Source organism: Homo sapiens, chromosome 22, assembly GCF_000001405.40.
Source record: "Homo sapiens chromosome 22, GRCh38.p14 Primary Assembly".
NCBI classification, from domain to species: domain Eukaryota; kingdom Metazoa; phylum Chordata; class Mammalia; order Primates; family Hominidae; genus Homo; species Homo sapiens.
In genome coordinates, this window is record NC_000022.11 from 25,731,418 (window position 1) to 25,746,542 (window position 15,125).

Consider the following 15,125-nt stretch of genomic DNA (forward strand, 5'->3'; position numbering starts at 1 on the left):
CAAAGCTTGTCTGTCTGTGCCTGGCTTATTTCACTCAACATAATGTCTTACATTTCCTTCCATGTTGTTGCCAATGACAGGTTCTCATTCTTTTTTTTTTTTTTTTTTGAGACGGAGTCTCGCTCTGTCACCCAGGCTGGAGTGCAGTGGTGTGATCTTGGCTCACTGCAAGCTCTGCTTCCCGGGTTCATGCCATTCTCCTGCCTCAGCCTCCTGAGTAGCCGGGACTACAGGCGCCCACCACCAGGCCTGGCTAATTTTTTGTATTTTTAGTAGAGACGGGGTTTCACCATGTTAGCCAGGATGGTCTCGATCTCCTGACCTCGTGATCTGCCCACCTCGGCCTCCCAAAGTGCTGGGATTACAGGCGTGAGCCACCGCGCCCAGCCGAGAGGGTCTCATTCTTTTTTTATGGCTGAATAGTACTCCACCCTGTGTATGTACCACATTTTTTTTTTAATCCATTCATCTGTTGGTGGAAGCTTAGATTAATTCCAAACCTTGGCTATTGTGAATAGTGCCGCAATAAACATGGAATGTCTTCAATATACTGATATCCTTTCTTCGGGATATATATCTCACAGTGGGATTCTGGATCATACGGCAGTTCTATTTTTAGTATTGCAGGCACTTCTATATTGTTCTCCAAACTGTTCTCCATACTGGTTATACTAATACACATTCCTACCAACAGTATATGAAGATTCTCTTTTCTCTGCATCCTCACTAGCATTCATTATTGCCTGTCTTTTCAATAAAAGGCATTTTATTTTATTTCTTATTTTATCTTTGGAGACAGAGTCTTGCTCTGTCGCTCAGGCTGGAGTGTAGTGGCGCAATCTCAACTCGCTGCAACCTCCACCTCCCACATTCAAGCAATTGTTGTGTCTCAGCCTCCCTAGTAGCTGGGATTACAGTTGTGTGCCACCAAGCACACAACTTGCCACCAAGTCCTGCTAATTTTTGTATTTTTTGTAGAGACAGGGTTTCACCATGTTGGTCAGGCTGGTCTCCAACTCCTGGCCTCAAGTGATCCACCTGCCTCAGCCTTCCAAAGTGCTGGGGTTACAGGCGTGAGCCACCACACTGGGCCAATAAAAGCCATTTTAACTGGAATGAGATTAGAGGCTCATATTAATGGGTCTGTAATTTGAGAAGGGAAATGGGAAACGAAGGCAGAGAAGCACAGCAAGGAAGCATTTTGCATAGCTTATGGATATCCGAAATGACTGGATTTTATTTAATACATTTTTATATTTTAACCATAGTGTCTGGGTAAAACACCCGGTTTATCATTTACCCTTCTGGGTGTAGACACAGTCCCTATTTGATAGCGTATAAACCCAATCTCTGCCTGGGGGTAATATGTGGCAGAAGGAAGTGGAGTCAGTTTGTCTAGGAGCTATACCAAGCTCCTCAACTTGCTCCCAGGGTGTCCTGAAAAGTAGCTCCCAGGAACCCCCAGGGACCTGCACCGTTTCATCTATACAACGGGCATGATGATAACACACACCCCACATCCATTACAGGTTTTCTGAGGAGGTTGTAAGTAGAAACATACCAAGCGCTCAGAACGGTGTGCAACATACAGTATTCTCACAATGCAGATTGACTTTTTATTTCTATGAATATTTTGAACTGTTTGTAGATCCACCACAGCATATTTTAAACTACAGCTCACTATACCAGGTTGGGGAATGCCATGAAGTCTGCAGCCCAGGCATTGAAGGGTACCTCTTGTCTCTCATTTTCAGAAGTGATAGGCAAAGCCGGTGCTTCCTGCAGAAGGCAGGAGGGAATGGGGGTGCCGCCCTTCCTCATGCCCTCAAAACCTACCCAGTGGGTCAGTCAAGGTGCAGCTACTAGGTAAGGAAAGATCTACGCTTAAGATCTATGTAACTGAAATGTGTTTAAATGTATAGATTTACACCAATCACAACTCAAACCACATGTGGTGTGGGTGTGCCAGGGGTTCAAACTTAGCTTTGCGCTTGGGTTTTTTTGTTTGGTTGGTTTTGGTTTTTGAGATGGAGTCTCACTCTGTCACCCAGGCTGGAGTGCAGTAGTGTGATCTCGGCCCACTGCAGCCTCCATCTCCCAGGTTAAAGCGATTCTCCTGCCTCAGCCTCCCAAGTAGCTGGGACTACAGTTGCGTGCCACCCATGCCTGGCTAAATTTTTTTTAAGTATTTTTGGTAGAGGAAGGGTTTCACCATGTTGGCCAGGCTGGTCTTGAACGCCTGACCTCAAGTGATTCGCCAACCTCAGCCTCTCAAAGTGCTGGGATTACAGGCGTGAGCCACTGTGCCCGGCCACGCTTGGAATTTTTGATGCCGCTGCCTTTGGATAGTCTGTCTGCTTCAGGGAGAAGCAGATTCAAGGTGTCCTTTCTGGCCGGGCGCAGTGGCTCATGCCTGTAATCCCAGCACTTTGGGAGGCCAAGACGGGCGGATCATGAGGTCAGGAGATCGAGACCATCCTGGCTAACATGGTGAAACCCTGTCTCTACTAAAAATACAAAAATCAGCCCGGCGCGGTGGCAGGTGCCTGTAGTCCCAGCTACTCGGGAGGCTGAGGCAGGAGAATGGGGTAAACCCAGGAGGCGGAGCTTGCAGTGAGCCGAGATCGCGCCACTGCACTCCAGCCTGGGCCACAGAGCGAGACTCCATCTCAAAAAAAAAAAAAATTCCTTTCCACCTGGTAGAGGTGCCGTTAGTATTACCTCTTTGTCAGCTGGTCTCTTAAAATTTCCTTTAGTGTTTCTAGGGGTTGCACCTTTCAGATTCTTATTGTCTTGAGCTCATTCTTCACCAGGCCCGGAAGATGAAGTCACGGACGCAAGTCCCTGGTATTTGATTCTTACTGCCTTTCAGAGTTGCTCTGAACGTTGCACTTGGAGGCAGTTCCAAGGTTCATCATCAGGTTTCAGAATTGGAGGTTTAAGCTCTTAGCCCCCTCACCAAAGATCAACATGGCAGAGGGAACCAGTAATGAACATGAGTCATAATAAGGTAACTGCAAAAAGGAGGAAGCGTTTTCTTATTCATTATGATTCAGGCTGCCTAACTTTAAAAAATGTCAACTGGGTAAAATATGGATACATTTTGGACTTGAAGTTCAAAATGCGTATTAAACATTCTATGGCAACCACTGAAAAAATAGAAAGAGTGAATAACTACCAAACTAGTATCAAGAAAAGTTGAAAATTAAGGCTGGGTACAGCGGCTCACACCTATAATCAATCCCACTGCTTTAGGGGACTGAGGTGGGAGGATCACTTGAGGCCAGCAGTTCTAGACCAGCCTGTGCAACATCGCGAGACCTCATCTCTGCAAAAAGTTTTTTAAATTAGCTGGGCATGGTAGTGTGTGCCTGTAGTCCCAGCTATTCCGGAGGCTGAGGTAGGAGGATCACATGAGCCCAGGAATTCAAGGCTGCAGTGAGCTATGATTGCACTACTGCACTCCAGCCTGGGTGACAGAGTGAGATCTTGTCATAAACAAACAAACAAAACAGAAAATAAAAATGGAAAATTAGAAAGGAAAACCCTTCCTCCCCAAAAATGCAAGGAAGGATAAGTATTTAACTTTTCTTCACTGAAAGACACACAGAATGAAAGACAAGCCATGTAACTGAGCGAAGATATTTGGGATATGTATGACGCAAGGACTAGCAGGTATAACATATAAACAACTCCCATCAATCAATAAGAAATCAGTTCATCCGGTGAAAAAATGGGCCAAAGACACAAAGTGACAGTTCATAGAAAAGAATCCAAAAGTGGCCCAAAAACCCAAAAAGATGCACGATGTTATCAGTAACCAGGGAACTGCAGGTTACTAATTTCCACTTCAGAAAGACAAGAGTTTAAAATTAAAGTCAGATAATTTTCTTTTCTTTTCTTTGTTTCTTTTTTTTTTTTTTTTTTTTGAGACGGAGTTTTGATTTTGTTACTCAGGCTGGAGTGCGTTGGCGTGATCTCGGCTCACTGCAACCTCCGCCTCCCAGGTTCAAGTGATTCTCCTGCCTCAGCCTCCCAAATAGCTGGGATTACAGGCATGCACCACCACGCCCATCTAATTATGTATTTTTAGTAGAGACGGTGTTTCGCCCTCTTGGTCAGCTGGTCTCGAACTCCCGACCTCAGGTGATCCTCCCACCTTGGCCTCCCAAAGTGTGGGGATTACAGGCGTGAGCCACTGTACCCGGCCAAGGGATTTATTTTCTTTTAGCTTGTCCACAGTGGACTTGTGGTACCCATGTAATATGCTTAAATGTTTTGTCCCAGGAGTCTTGCCCATGTGGACTAGAACAGCAGGCTCCCTTAGTGTCTGACTTTTGCTGGGGTTCAGAAAAAGGAGGCCTCTCAGGATAACAGAGGGCAAGAGGTGAAGGAAATTGCAGTCACAGTCCCCAGGCTCCTCCCTCCAAGTAACCTTGAGCCAGCTGTTCCTGCAGCTGTCAGCCGCAGCTCATCAGGCAGCCCCTCTCTGCAGCTTTCCTGGCCACATACTCCTTCTTCCTTCAGGCCAAGAAGTGGAAAAGACTTTCTGCCACTGCTAGCCCCTGAGGCCTCTACACTCCTTGTTGGTTTTCCTAAACGCAAATAGTGTCTTTTTTTTTTGAGATGGAGTCTTACTCTGTCGCCCAGGCTGGAGTGCAGTGGCACGATCTCAGCTCACTGCAAGCTCCGCCTCCCAGGTTTATGCCGTTCTCCTGCCTCAGCCTCCTGAGTAGCTGGGACTACAGGCGCCCGCCACCATGCTTGGCTAATTTTTTGTATTTTTAGTAGAGACGGGGTTTCACCGTGTTAGCCAGGATGGTCTCGATCTCCTGACCTCCTGATCTGCTCGCCTCAGCCTCCCAAAGTGCTGGGATTACAGGTGTGAGCCACCGTGCCCGGCTGCAAATACTGTCTTTATTAAACTCTGCTCAGATTAACCAATTTGAGGGTGTCTTTACTGCTGTGACCCCCAGACGAATACACACATACTTCCTCCCACATCCTGCCCTCAATGTGTATGGTATAGACTTCTTGATAGTACTGGTGGGCTATGACAAGATGCCCTCTCCCTCCTCAGGAGCCTGGGGTTATAACTGTGTCAAGAGGGTTTGACCACAACACCACTGACAGTTGAGGCCAGGTTCTTTGTTGGAGAGAAGGTGGTTTTCCTTTGCATCATGGAATAAGTAGCAGCACCCCAGCCTCTATCTGCTAGACGCCAGTAGCATTCCCCCCTCCAAATCTTCACAACCCCAAATGTCTTCAGACATTGCCAAAGAAAGGTACCTTCAGGGCAAAAATTACTCTCCCCCACCAACCGCCGCACCACCCCATTTGAGAACCACTGGTTTAGATGATAGGAGATTCTCGGTGTGTGGCAGATAGGATTGAGGTTGAAGGCTGATGCCAGGTGTAGGGACCAGGGCTCTAACTCCTCAGAGAGCACGTAAAACATGAATCTACCCTGTAGTTGCTGTGCCCAGATTCATTGCCATTCCAGGAAATGAGCTTACCACATTGACTGTTGAAGTCACGCCAGCCCCAGCATCAAAAGCGAAGGAGTGGATGTTTCAGTTAAAATTGCGGGAGGGGACTTGGTCCTTCCTGTTGCTTCTTCTGACACCTGCATCACCGCTTTCTTTTTTTCTTTTCTTTTCTTTCTTTATTTTTATTTTTATTTTTTTTTGAGGTGGAGTCTCGCTCTGTCGCCCAGGCTGGAGTGCAGTGGCGCGATCTCGGCTCACTGCAAGCTCCGCCTCCTGGGTTCATGCCATTCTCCTGCCTCAGCCTCCCAAGTAGCTGGGACTACTGGCACCCGCCACCTCACCCAGCTAATTTTTTGTATTTTTAGTAGAGACGGGTTTTCACCATGTTAGCCAGGATGGTATTGATCTCCTGACCTCGTGATCCACCCACCTTGGCCTCCCAAAGTGCTGGGATTACAGGCCTGAGCCACCGCGCCCAGCCTGCGTCACCCCTTTCTTGATGTCCATGTATCTGATATAGTTTTCTAGACAGCAGAGCTGCAGATCCAGAAGACACAGTTGGGTCAGGGACCTGAAACGCCGTGCTGGTGAGCTTCCCATTCAGCTCAGCCTGTGCTAAGGGAGGTTGAGATGCAGGATTCCTGCAGTAGACGGTGAAGGAAGAGATCAAAGAGCTCAGAGACGTCAGCATACTTGAGGGGATATATTAAATAAGGCCAGACCACCCACTGGGGACCCAGGACACACGAAGGCCACTGGGAGAGAGGGCACCCACATTGCTAAGAATTTTAGTAGTGGCTCTCCCCCGCAGACAGCACCAGTGGTAGGAAAGCCTTTTACAGACCTAAACGCAGCCATTCAGTCATTCAACAAACATCCACTGAGCACGTACTATGGGCCTCGTGGACTGTAACAGTCACTGTAACAGCCCCTTCAGTGGGACTTTCTCTGCATCTCTTCCTCCTCCACACTCCCAGTTGCAGCCCTTTGTTCACTCATTACTTTGTTCACCAGAGAGTCCATGAGCAGCTACTCAATGCCAGGAATGAACCAGGAGGCTAGAGACCGCTGGAGGATAGACAGGTAGACAGACAGACAGACATCTAGGGAAAGCACAGTGCAGGACTAGGTCTTCAGACACTCGCTCCAGTCCAGTTTCCATGCGTTTACTGTAAACCAGCCTCAAGAGACACAGAGACAGTTTCTCTTCATTGCTACAGGGATGGTGGCACACAAGTGAGGCCCCTGCAGTGGTCACAGGGATGGATTTTCATGATTGTTGTACATACGAACACGCATAGGCCTGTTCTCCAGTTTATTAACACACACATCCATGCACATCCATGCACATATACTCACAAACTTCCATGCTCACTGTACAGTCATATCCTACCCATGGGCACACAGGACAGCTTCTCTCTCTCTCTCTCTCTGTCTATGCCTGTCTCTGTCTCTGCTCTGTCTCTCTCTCTTACACACACACACACACAGTAGTTCCCCCTTATATGAAGGGAATACCTTCCAAGCCTCCCAGTGGATGTCTGAAACTGTGGATAGTACTGAACCTCCCTATACACTATGTTTTATCCTATATATTCATACCTATGATAAAGTTTTATTTATAAATTAGGCACAGTAAGAGATTAATAAAAATAATAATAAAGTCAACAATTATAACAATATACCTGTACTATAATAAAAGTTACATGAATGTGCTGTCTCTCTCTAACACCTTAATGTACTATACTCACCGATTGTTGGATGGTGGTTGACTGCAGGTAACTGGAACCTTGTAAAGTGAAACCACGAACGAAGGGGGACTTGTATACCCACACGGCTCCCCGATAGCAATGGAGATGACAGGACCCCGGAATGATAGAGATCAGGTGGCAGCACTCATCCTAGTGAGTGGCAAGGTGGAAGCAGCTCACAAGACGTATGGAGACGATTAACAGAATGTAGCATTCTAAGGGCAGAATAGATGGGCCACCAAAAAGGGTCCACTCCATTTGTACCATTAAAAACATTAAGGATGGGCTGGGTGTGGTGGCTCATGCCTGTAATCCCAATGCTTTGGGATGCTGAGGTGAGAGGATCACTTGAGGCCAGGAGTTCAAGACCAGCCTGGGCAACATAGCCAGACCCCATCTCTACCAAAAATTTAGAAAAATTAGCTGGGTGGTGTGGTGTATGTCTGCAGTCCCAGCTACTTGAGAGGCCAAGGTGGAAGGATCACTTGAGGTAAGGAGTTTGAGGCTTCAGTGAACCGTGATCAGGCCACTGTATTCCAGCCTGGGTGACAGAGTGAGACCCAGACTCTAAGAACATTTAAAGAAAAAAATTAGGGGCCGGGTGCAGTGGCTCACGCCTGTAATCCCAGCACTTTGGGAGGCTGAGGTGGGCAGATCACCTGAGGTCAGGAGTTTGAGACCAGCCTGGCTAACGTGGTGAAACCCTGTCTCTACTAAAAATACAAAAATTAGCCAGGCATGGTGGCAGGTGCCTGTAATCCCAGCTACTGAGGAGGCTGAGGCAGGAGAATCGCTTGAACCTGGGAGGCAGAGGTTGCAGTGAGCAGAGATTGTGCCATTGCACTCCAGCCTGGAGGACTAGAGCAAGACTTCATCTCAAAAAAAAAAATTAGGGATGATCAAGAGATAGAAGTCAATTGTCCATATAAAATGTCACAATCCCTTGGCTGTTTTGTGGATCCAGAACTCCTTAGCCTAAGGAGAGGCCAAATCTCCAGGGGAAAGGAACAACAACCCCACAGCAGGTATGTAAAGTGATGATTCCCTTGGTCTTTGCCCAGACAAACCCACAGCCACTTGAACTGTCCTGACACCCAACAGAATAGCACCACGATCCACTCTTTCCATGACACCACGCCAACTGGATCAGATGAGCCCAAAGCAGCCGGTTCTCTGGATGCCTTGATAAGAAAGCCTCCACCTTCTCGTCTTTTCCCCCAGCCTGGGGAATGAAGCCTGGAGACTGGACAGTAAATGCTCAGCTGGGTGACAAAATCTTGCTTATAAGGGCTGCCCTAAATCACCGTGTGCTCAAGGTAATACTTGGTCATCTTGTGTAGCAAAAATCCACCCACCACAGGTACCAACAAGGTGAATGGAGCAAACACATGCCATGTTGACTCCTTGGGGAACGGAGGTCCCTTCAAGTCAACGGAACCATCACTGCAGGTCATGGCCTATAGAGAGTCCCAGCCCTGGGCCCAGAGAATCATTTCTGCATGTCAACTCTACCACTTCAGACCAACAGCGTCGGAAAGACAGCAAGGACAGAAAAGCCCAGGAGCCAATGGTTCAGGACTTGTGATGCAAGGGGCGGGAGAAGGGAGGTTCTTGTTTCAATGTCAAATGATCTAGCACAACCTGGAGAAAACAGCTCACCGGGACCTGTCTCCAAACTCTTCCCCTGGTGTGGCCTAAATGTCCCATGCCACTCTCCACTGGGGGCCGCAGGGACCCCTCCTCAACCTCATGTATATTATGTATATTGTATTTTCTTTTTCTTTCTTTTCTTTTCTTTTTTTTTTCAAAATGTAGTTTTGCTCTTGTCGCCCAGGCTGGAGTGCAATGGCGCCATCTCTGCTCACTGCAACCTCTGACTCCTGGGTTCCAGCTATTCTCCTGCCTCAGCCTCCCGAGTTGCTGGGATTACAGGTGCCCGCCACCACGCCCAGCTAATTTTCGTATTTTTAGTAGAGGTGGGGTTTCACCATGTTGGCTAGGCTGGTCTCAAACTCCTGACCTCAAATGATCCACCCGCCTTAGCCTCCCAAAGTGCTGGGATTACAGGTGTGAGCCACCATACCCGGCCTAGACTGCCATTTTCTAAGCAGCCTTCCCTTAGTGTTTCAATGAACTTCTGATTGAATGCTAATTTTCAAGACCTCGGCAGAAGTGAGTACTTTGGGAAAATATTGCTCGATGAGCTCTGGGGAAAGAGGAGCAGCACCACATAGCAATTATTGAAACAATTCTCACAGGAGCAGTATCATGCTGGGCTGATTGCGGTCTTTGGAACCAGAAAGACTTGGATTTGAGTCATGACTCTACCCTTTGCTAGCTGCATGGACCTGCATGGTTTATCCAATTTATTGAAGTCTGTACTTTGCTCCTTTTAGGCAGTGGACAAAGCACTTTTTTTGTTGTTGTTTTTTTGAGATAGAGTCTCTTATCGCCTAGGCTAGAGTGCAGTGGCGTGACCTTAGCTCATTGCAACCTCCGCCTCCTGGGTTCAAGCAATTCTCCTGCCTCAGCCTCCCAAGTAGCTGGGATCACAGACAACCACTACCCCACCCAGCTGATTTTTTTTTTTTTTTTTGAGATGGAGTCTCTCTCTGTCACCCAGGCTGGAGTGCAGTGGCGCGATCTCGGCTTACTGCAAGCTCCGCCTGTAGCTGGGACTACAGGCGCCCACCACCACGCCCGGCTAATTTTGTTTTTGTATTTTTAGTAGAGACGGGGTTTCACTGTGTTAGCCAGGATGGTCTCAATCTCCTGACCTCGTGATATGCCCACCTCGGCTTCCCAAAGTGCCGGGATTACAGACGTGAGCCACCGTGCCAGGCCCAAAGCACTTTTTTATAGCCCCTAGTTTGCTGTTGTGTCTGTTTCCTCTACGGCCCGCACAGCCTGGGTTTGAATTCTGGCTCTCCATGGCCTTGGGCAAGTTGGTTAACTTTTTGTGTCTCAATTTCCCCACTTGTAAAGTGGGGCTGGGGAAAAACCCTACCTCATAGGGAACATTAAGTGAGTTCATGAAAGCCCTCGGTGTGTGGCATGCGATAACCACTACCTAAGCATAAGGTATGTTTACATGCACTGGTTGTTTACCACGACGCACCAGCATTCATTCAAGTTATTTTCTTCCAGAGTCTGCCTGGAATGTAGAACCGGCCAGCTCTCCTCCTCAAACAGTTCCTGCAACCTCTGGTTATCTGTGTGGGCAGAGGCGGGAGTGTGGGTGTGTGGCCCTGCCCTGGGACAGGGATGACGAGAGAGCATGTGCTTGTGTCCAGAGCTGTCCCCTTCCCTGCTCAGGGGCCACCAAATATGTCCATGGTCTCTGCTGCCTGGTCAACGGCCACCCCGGGCTGCCGTCTCCTGGCCAGACCTGGAGCTCACAAGCTAATTTTAGAAATGACTGGTCGACTCAGCTGCTGCTATCACATTGGCCCAGAAGGAGGGTGGGGGGAGGACGGGTCGGGGAGGGGCAGTAAGGGGAAGGGATGTGTGTCGGTGTGTGTGGAGAGGGTGCTCCTTCGCTCCTGCTTTCCCGGCTCGGTGGGGTCCCTTCGCGGCCACCCGGGGAGACGTCTTAGACAGTCGTGGTTCCTGTGATCTGTGTCCTCTTTGCAGAAGGTACTATTGGGCTGGGTTTTAGACGGGCACCTTGCGAGCGGATCGGCGAGTTTTAATTTTCCGGAATGCGCTGCTGGGGGCTGCGGTGGCAGGCCTCCGGTCTTTTGGTCTATTTTAGGCCTTTCTGGTGTTGAGAGCTTCCGAGGCCTGATTCCTTTGCCTGTTGCCCGTGCTGCTCACTTTGAAAACAAGAGTGTTTCGGTGGAAGGATTTGAGAACAAAATGCTGGGGCAAATGGACATTCGTAAGAATCACTCTCCTCAGGCCCCAGCTGTTCGCTAATAATTTTTAAAAATGTGTTTAGAATCATGAGTTAATCTCCACTGTGAATCTTTGCCCGCAGACGTCAGGGTTTATATTTTTCCTCAACTACCAGTAATTTCTGCTTCACTGGTGTTCAGTTATGGTCGGGGAAGAGCCAGGCTTCCCCTTTCGTGTTAACAACGCTGTTGAGTCGAAATGTTAATTTTAATGTTCTTTTTTAAACTGCAAATTAAGCATGTATGAGTGTTGGGGGAAGGGCAATGGAAGTTCATGGCTGAAGGTTTCAATTTCATGCCACCTTCCTTGAGCTCTGTCTGAGGGAAGGTGTCTTATCTGGCACCCCGGATAGCAGGCATTTCTCTGAATGAAGAAGATTCACAGGTCCCAGTGGCCCCATAGTGGGGCAGAAGGGGGCTATGCTTTGACATGGAGCTCTCTCCCAGGAGAGGAGAAGACCTCACCAGCTACAGGCCTCTGGGCTGCTGCCTTCCTGCAGCTTTTCCATGGAGGAGGCCAGGAGTGGGGAGGCCCGGAATGGGGAGCCCAGTCGGCTCCCAGTCGGCTCCAAGCTGTCCAGTCTGGCCTCAACCCGCAAGTGTGGGGATCTGGGCTTCTATCCTGTAGGGCCTGGAATACGACGAGGCTGTTACTTTCACTTTGTGGCTGTCCAAAAAGATGCTGCCTCATTCAGTGCACCAGCTCATGGAGGCTGAGTGTCCCACTAGGGCTTCTAGACTCCAACAAGGATAATGGTGGCCTTGGGTGCTGTATCCATTGCTGACCTAAGTTGTATTCTCCTATGCCTGGGTACCATGTCCAGTGTGTACCTTGGGAGCAGAAAAGAGAGGGGTCTATATACTCTTAGGCTATGGATGAGTTCTAGAAAATAATAGTGGAGAGGAGAGAGAGAAAAGAAGGAAGAGGAGGAGGAGAAGGAGAAGAAGAGAAGGAGGAGGAGGAAAAAAGCAGGAGGAGAAAGAGAAGAAGGAGGAGAAGAATAATAGCAAAGGAAAAGGCCAAAAGAAAAGGCCAAGTGGGTGGAGGAGGGAGGAGAAGGAGGAAGAGGAGGAGGAGAGGGAGTCTCCTGGTCTCCTGGCTTTTGAAGGGCTGCATGTTACCAATCAACAAATATTTGATGTCACCTGCCTCCAGGCCTGGTCACCTTGAATATCCTGGTGTGGGCTCTGTAACCTTGGATGAGTACTCTCCCCAGTCGGAACTTAGTTTCTCCTTCTAAAACCTGAGGGGGTTGGGCTAGACCACCTCTGGGATCTTTCCTAGGATTCAGCATCCAGGAAGGTTTTTCTTGAAGTGACGGTCGTTGACGACCTACCCATCAGACTCATGTGGGGCAGGAGGCGGGGGGCTGTTTTAAAATGCAGATTCCTGGGTTCATCCTAGACCTTTTGAACAGTCTTGGGGGAAGGGGCCCAGAAATCCACAGATTTTAAACCTCACAGGTGGTTCTGGTGCCCACCCAAATTGGAGAAGAGCTTTTCCTTTCACTTGAGCTAACAAAACCACAGAAGGCTGTTGCTCAGCACCTGCCCTGTCAAAACTCATGGAATTTCCATGTTTCACAAACATGGAAAACGTGCACAGCACTTTATTAGGGTCTAACTATCGCAAAGATTTTATTGGGCAGGTGTTCCTCCAGGGGTAAGATCAAGACTTTCTATGGCATTTTGAGGTGGGAATGGAGGGCCCCCAAACTGAGCAGAACCACTTCCAGCTGCCAAAAGATAGGGACCTGGGGCTGTGAGCCTACAAGGCTATGGGGAGATGGCCCTTCACTGGGTCCTGCTAGATACAAACAACTGTCTGAATGGCCCATTTGAAGCACATGGTCAGCTGCTGTGGTGTGTGGCATATCTTTAATATTTAAACAAAGTGGCCGGGCGCGGGGGCTCACGCCTTTAATCCCAGCACTTTGGGAGGCCGAGGTGGGCAGATCACGAGGTCAGGAGATCGAGACCATCCTGGCTAACACGGTGAAACCCCGTCTCTACTAAAAACACAAAAAAAAATTAGCCGGGCGTGGTGGTGGGTGCCTGTAGTCCCAGCTACTTGGGAGGCTGAGGCAGGAGAATGGCATGAACCTGGGAGGTGGAGCTTGCAGTGAGCCGAGATCACGCCATTGCACTCCAGCCTGGGGACAGAGAGAGACTCCGTCTCAAAAATAAAAATAAAAATAAAAATAAACAAAATGAAATTAAATTTTCTGAAAAATGGAGGAGGTGGGTTTGAGACCAGGGAGGATCCCCCTCCCCTCCAGAGTGCTGCCAAATCCAACCCCTCCTGTTGAGAGATGGTGCAGCTGAGGCACAGAGAGGGAAAGCCACTTGTTCAAGGACACACAGCCCTGCAGCAAGAGCATTGGGCCAAGATCAGCCCCTGCTGTCACGGCTGGTGTTCAGGGAGCAACCACGAGCCCCTTATGTTAGAAATAATAGTCAAATCCACCATATATATTATCCCCCCGCACCAAGATCTTAAGGAAAGGATAAACCTCAGCTCTCATTTGAATGGGGGCAGCAAAAATAAATTGCGTCTTATTTTATTTTTATTTTGAAACAAGGGCTGGCTCTATCACCCAGGCTGGTGTGCAGTGGCCCAATCTCGGCTCACTGCAACCTCTGCCTCCGAGGTTTAAGCCATCCTCCCATCTCAACCTCCTGAGTAGCTGGGACTACAGGAGTGCACCACCACGCCCGGCTAATTTTTATACTTTTTGTAGAGATGGGGTTTCACCATGTTGCCCAGTCTGGTCTCAAACTTGGGAGCTCAAGTGATCCACCCACCTCAGCCTCCCAAAGTGTTGGGATTACAGGCGTGGAACCACTGCGCCTGGCAGAAAATGAACTTTATGACACAAACAAGGGCCTTGGACATCAAGGTAGATTTCTCTCTCTCTGACACACACACACACACACACACACACACACGCACACACATCTCATTCAGTCTGAAGGATCCAGAGACACCATTAGCTTCATATGAATCTCTCCTCTCCCACAGCCTGACTCATCCAGTTTCATAATTTTCCCTATCTGCTTCTTTTTTACTGTGTTTCTCCCTGATGCTGATTTACTTTTAAGAATTGTAGTTTCTGGCAACAGAGGAAAGATCCTCAAGAATCGGCAAAGTGAGTTTACCCCTTGGCCAGTGCTCATGTGTAGGGTAGCAAGAATTTCAAGGTTCAGGGTTTCAAGTGAATTTTTCTCTGCCCATAAAAGATGGAATGCATTTTCAGCTGTTTCTTGGGTACCAGCTGGGGTTTGAGTTTCAATTTCATGGAGGGCAGCTGGATTAACTGTTGCGTTGAGGTAGAGATGGTTGCTTGATGGGATTAAATGTCTCATTCACGCTTAATATTCCAGTGAGCTTGGGCGTGAGTTATTAGCCCCATTTTACAGGCCAGGAAGTGAGATTTGGAGCCTGGAGTGACCCCAGGTTATCCAGGGTGAAATAAAAGCAGGACTGAATACCTTCCTGCCAGAGACTGGACTGTTCAGCATAATGTAATAAACAACATCCGTTGAGATAATAAATTGTGTGGCATTGTTTCACAGAGACAGATAAGAAAGCTTTTTCACATTCATTACCTCATTTAATCCACTGATGATCAAGGCAGGTAGTGATATAGTCCCAGTTTTATAGAAGAGGAAACTCAGCATCAGAGAGGTTTAGTGACTTGCTTTTCTGCTTGTTTTTCTGCCAACAGTGGATGACTCATTTTTTCAGTTCTTTCCCTGTTACACCTAGTTATTATTCAAAGCAAAGATGATATTGCCCTCTTCTTCTCTTGATGCTCCTTCCCATTTGTCATGATTCTTCCAGACCAGGGTTCTAGACCAGTGTCAGCGTAGACACTATTGACATTTGGGTTGCATATCTCTTTGTTGTGGACCTGTCATGTGCTTGGAAAAATGTGTAGCAGCATCCCTGTCCTTGACCCAGTAGATGCAGGTAGCACCTCCTCTCC

The 15,125-nt window shown here is 48.3% G+C and overlaps 1 protein-coding gene across 9 annotated transcripts in view; it reads left to right on the forward strand.

Annotated features, from left to right (window-relative positions):
• Positions 10,771 to 15,125, forward strand: part of MYO18B (myosin XVIIIB) — a 321,660-nt gene continuing 317,305 nt past the window's right edge. For all 9 annotated transcript variants that reach the window (XM_011530461.3, XM_011530458.3, XM_017029014.2 and 6 more), the window contains exon 1: positions 10,771 to 10,876. The gene's annotated coding sequence lies outside the window, so the exon portion shown is untranslated. The remainder of the gene's footprint in view (positions 10,877 to 15,125) is intronic.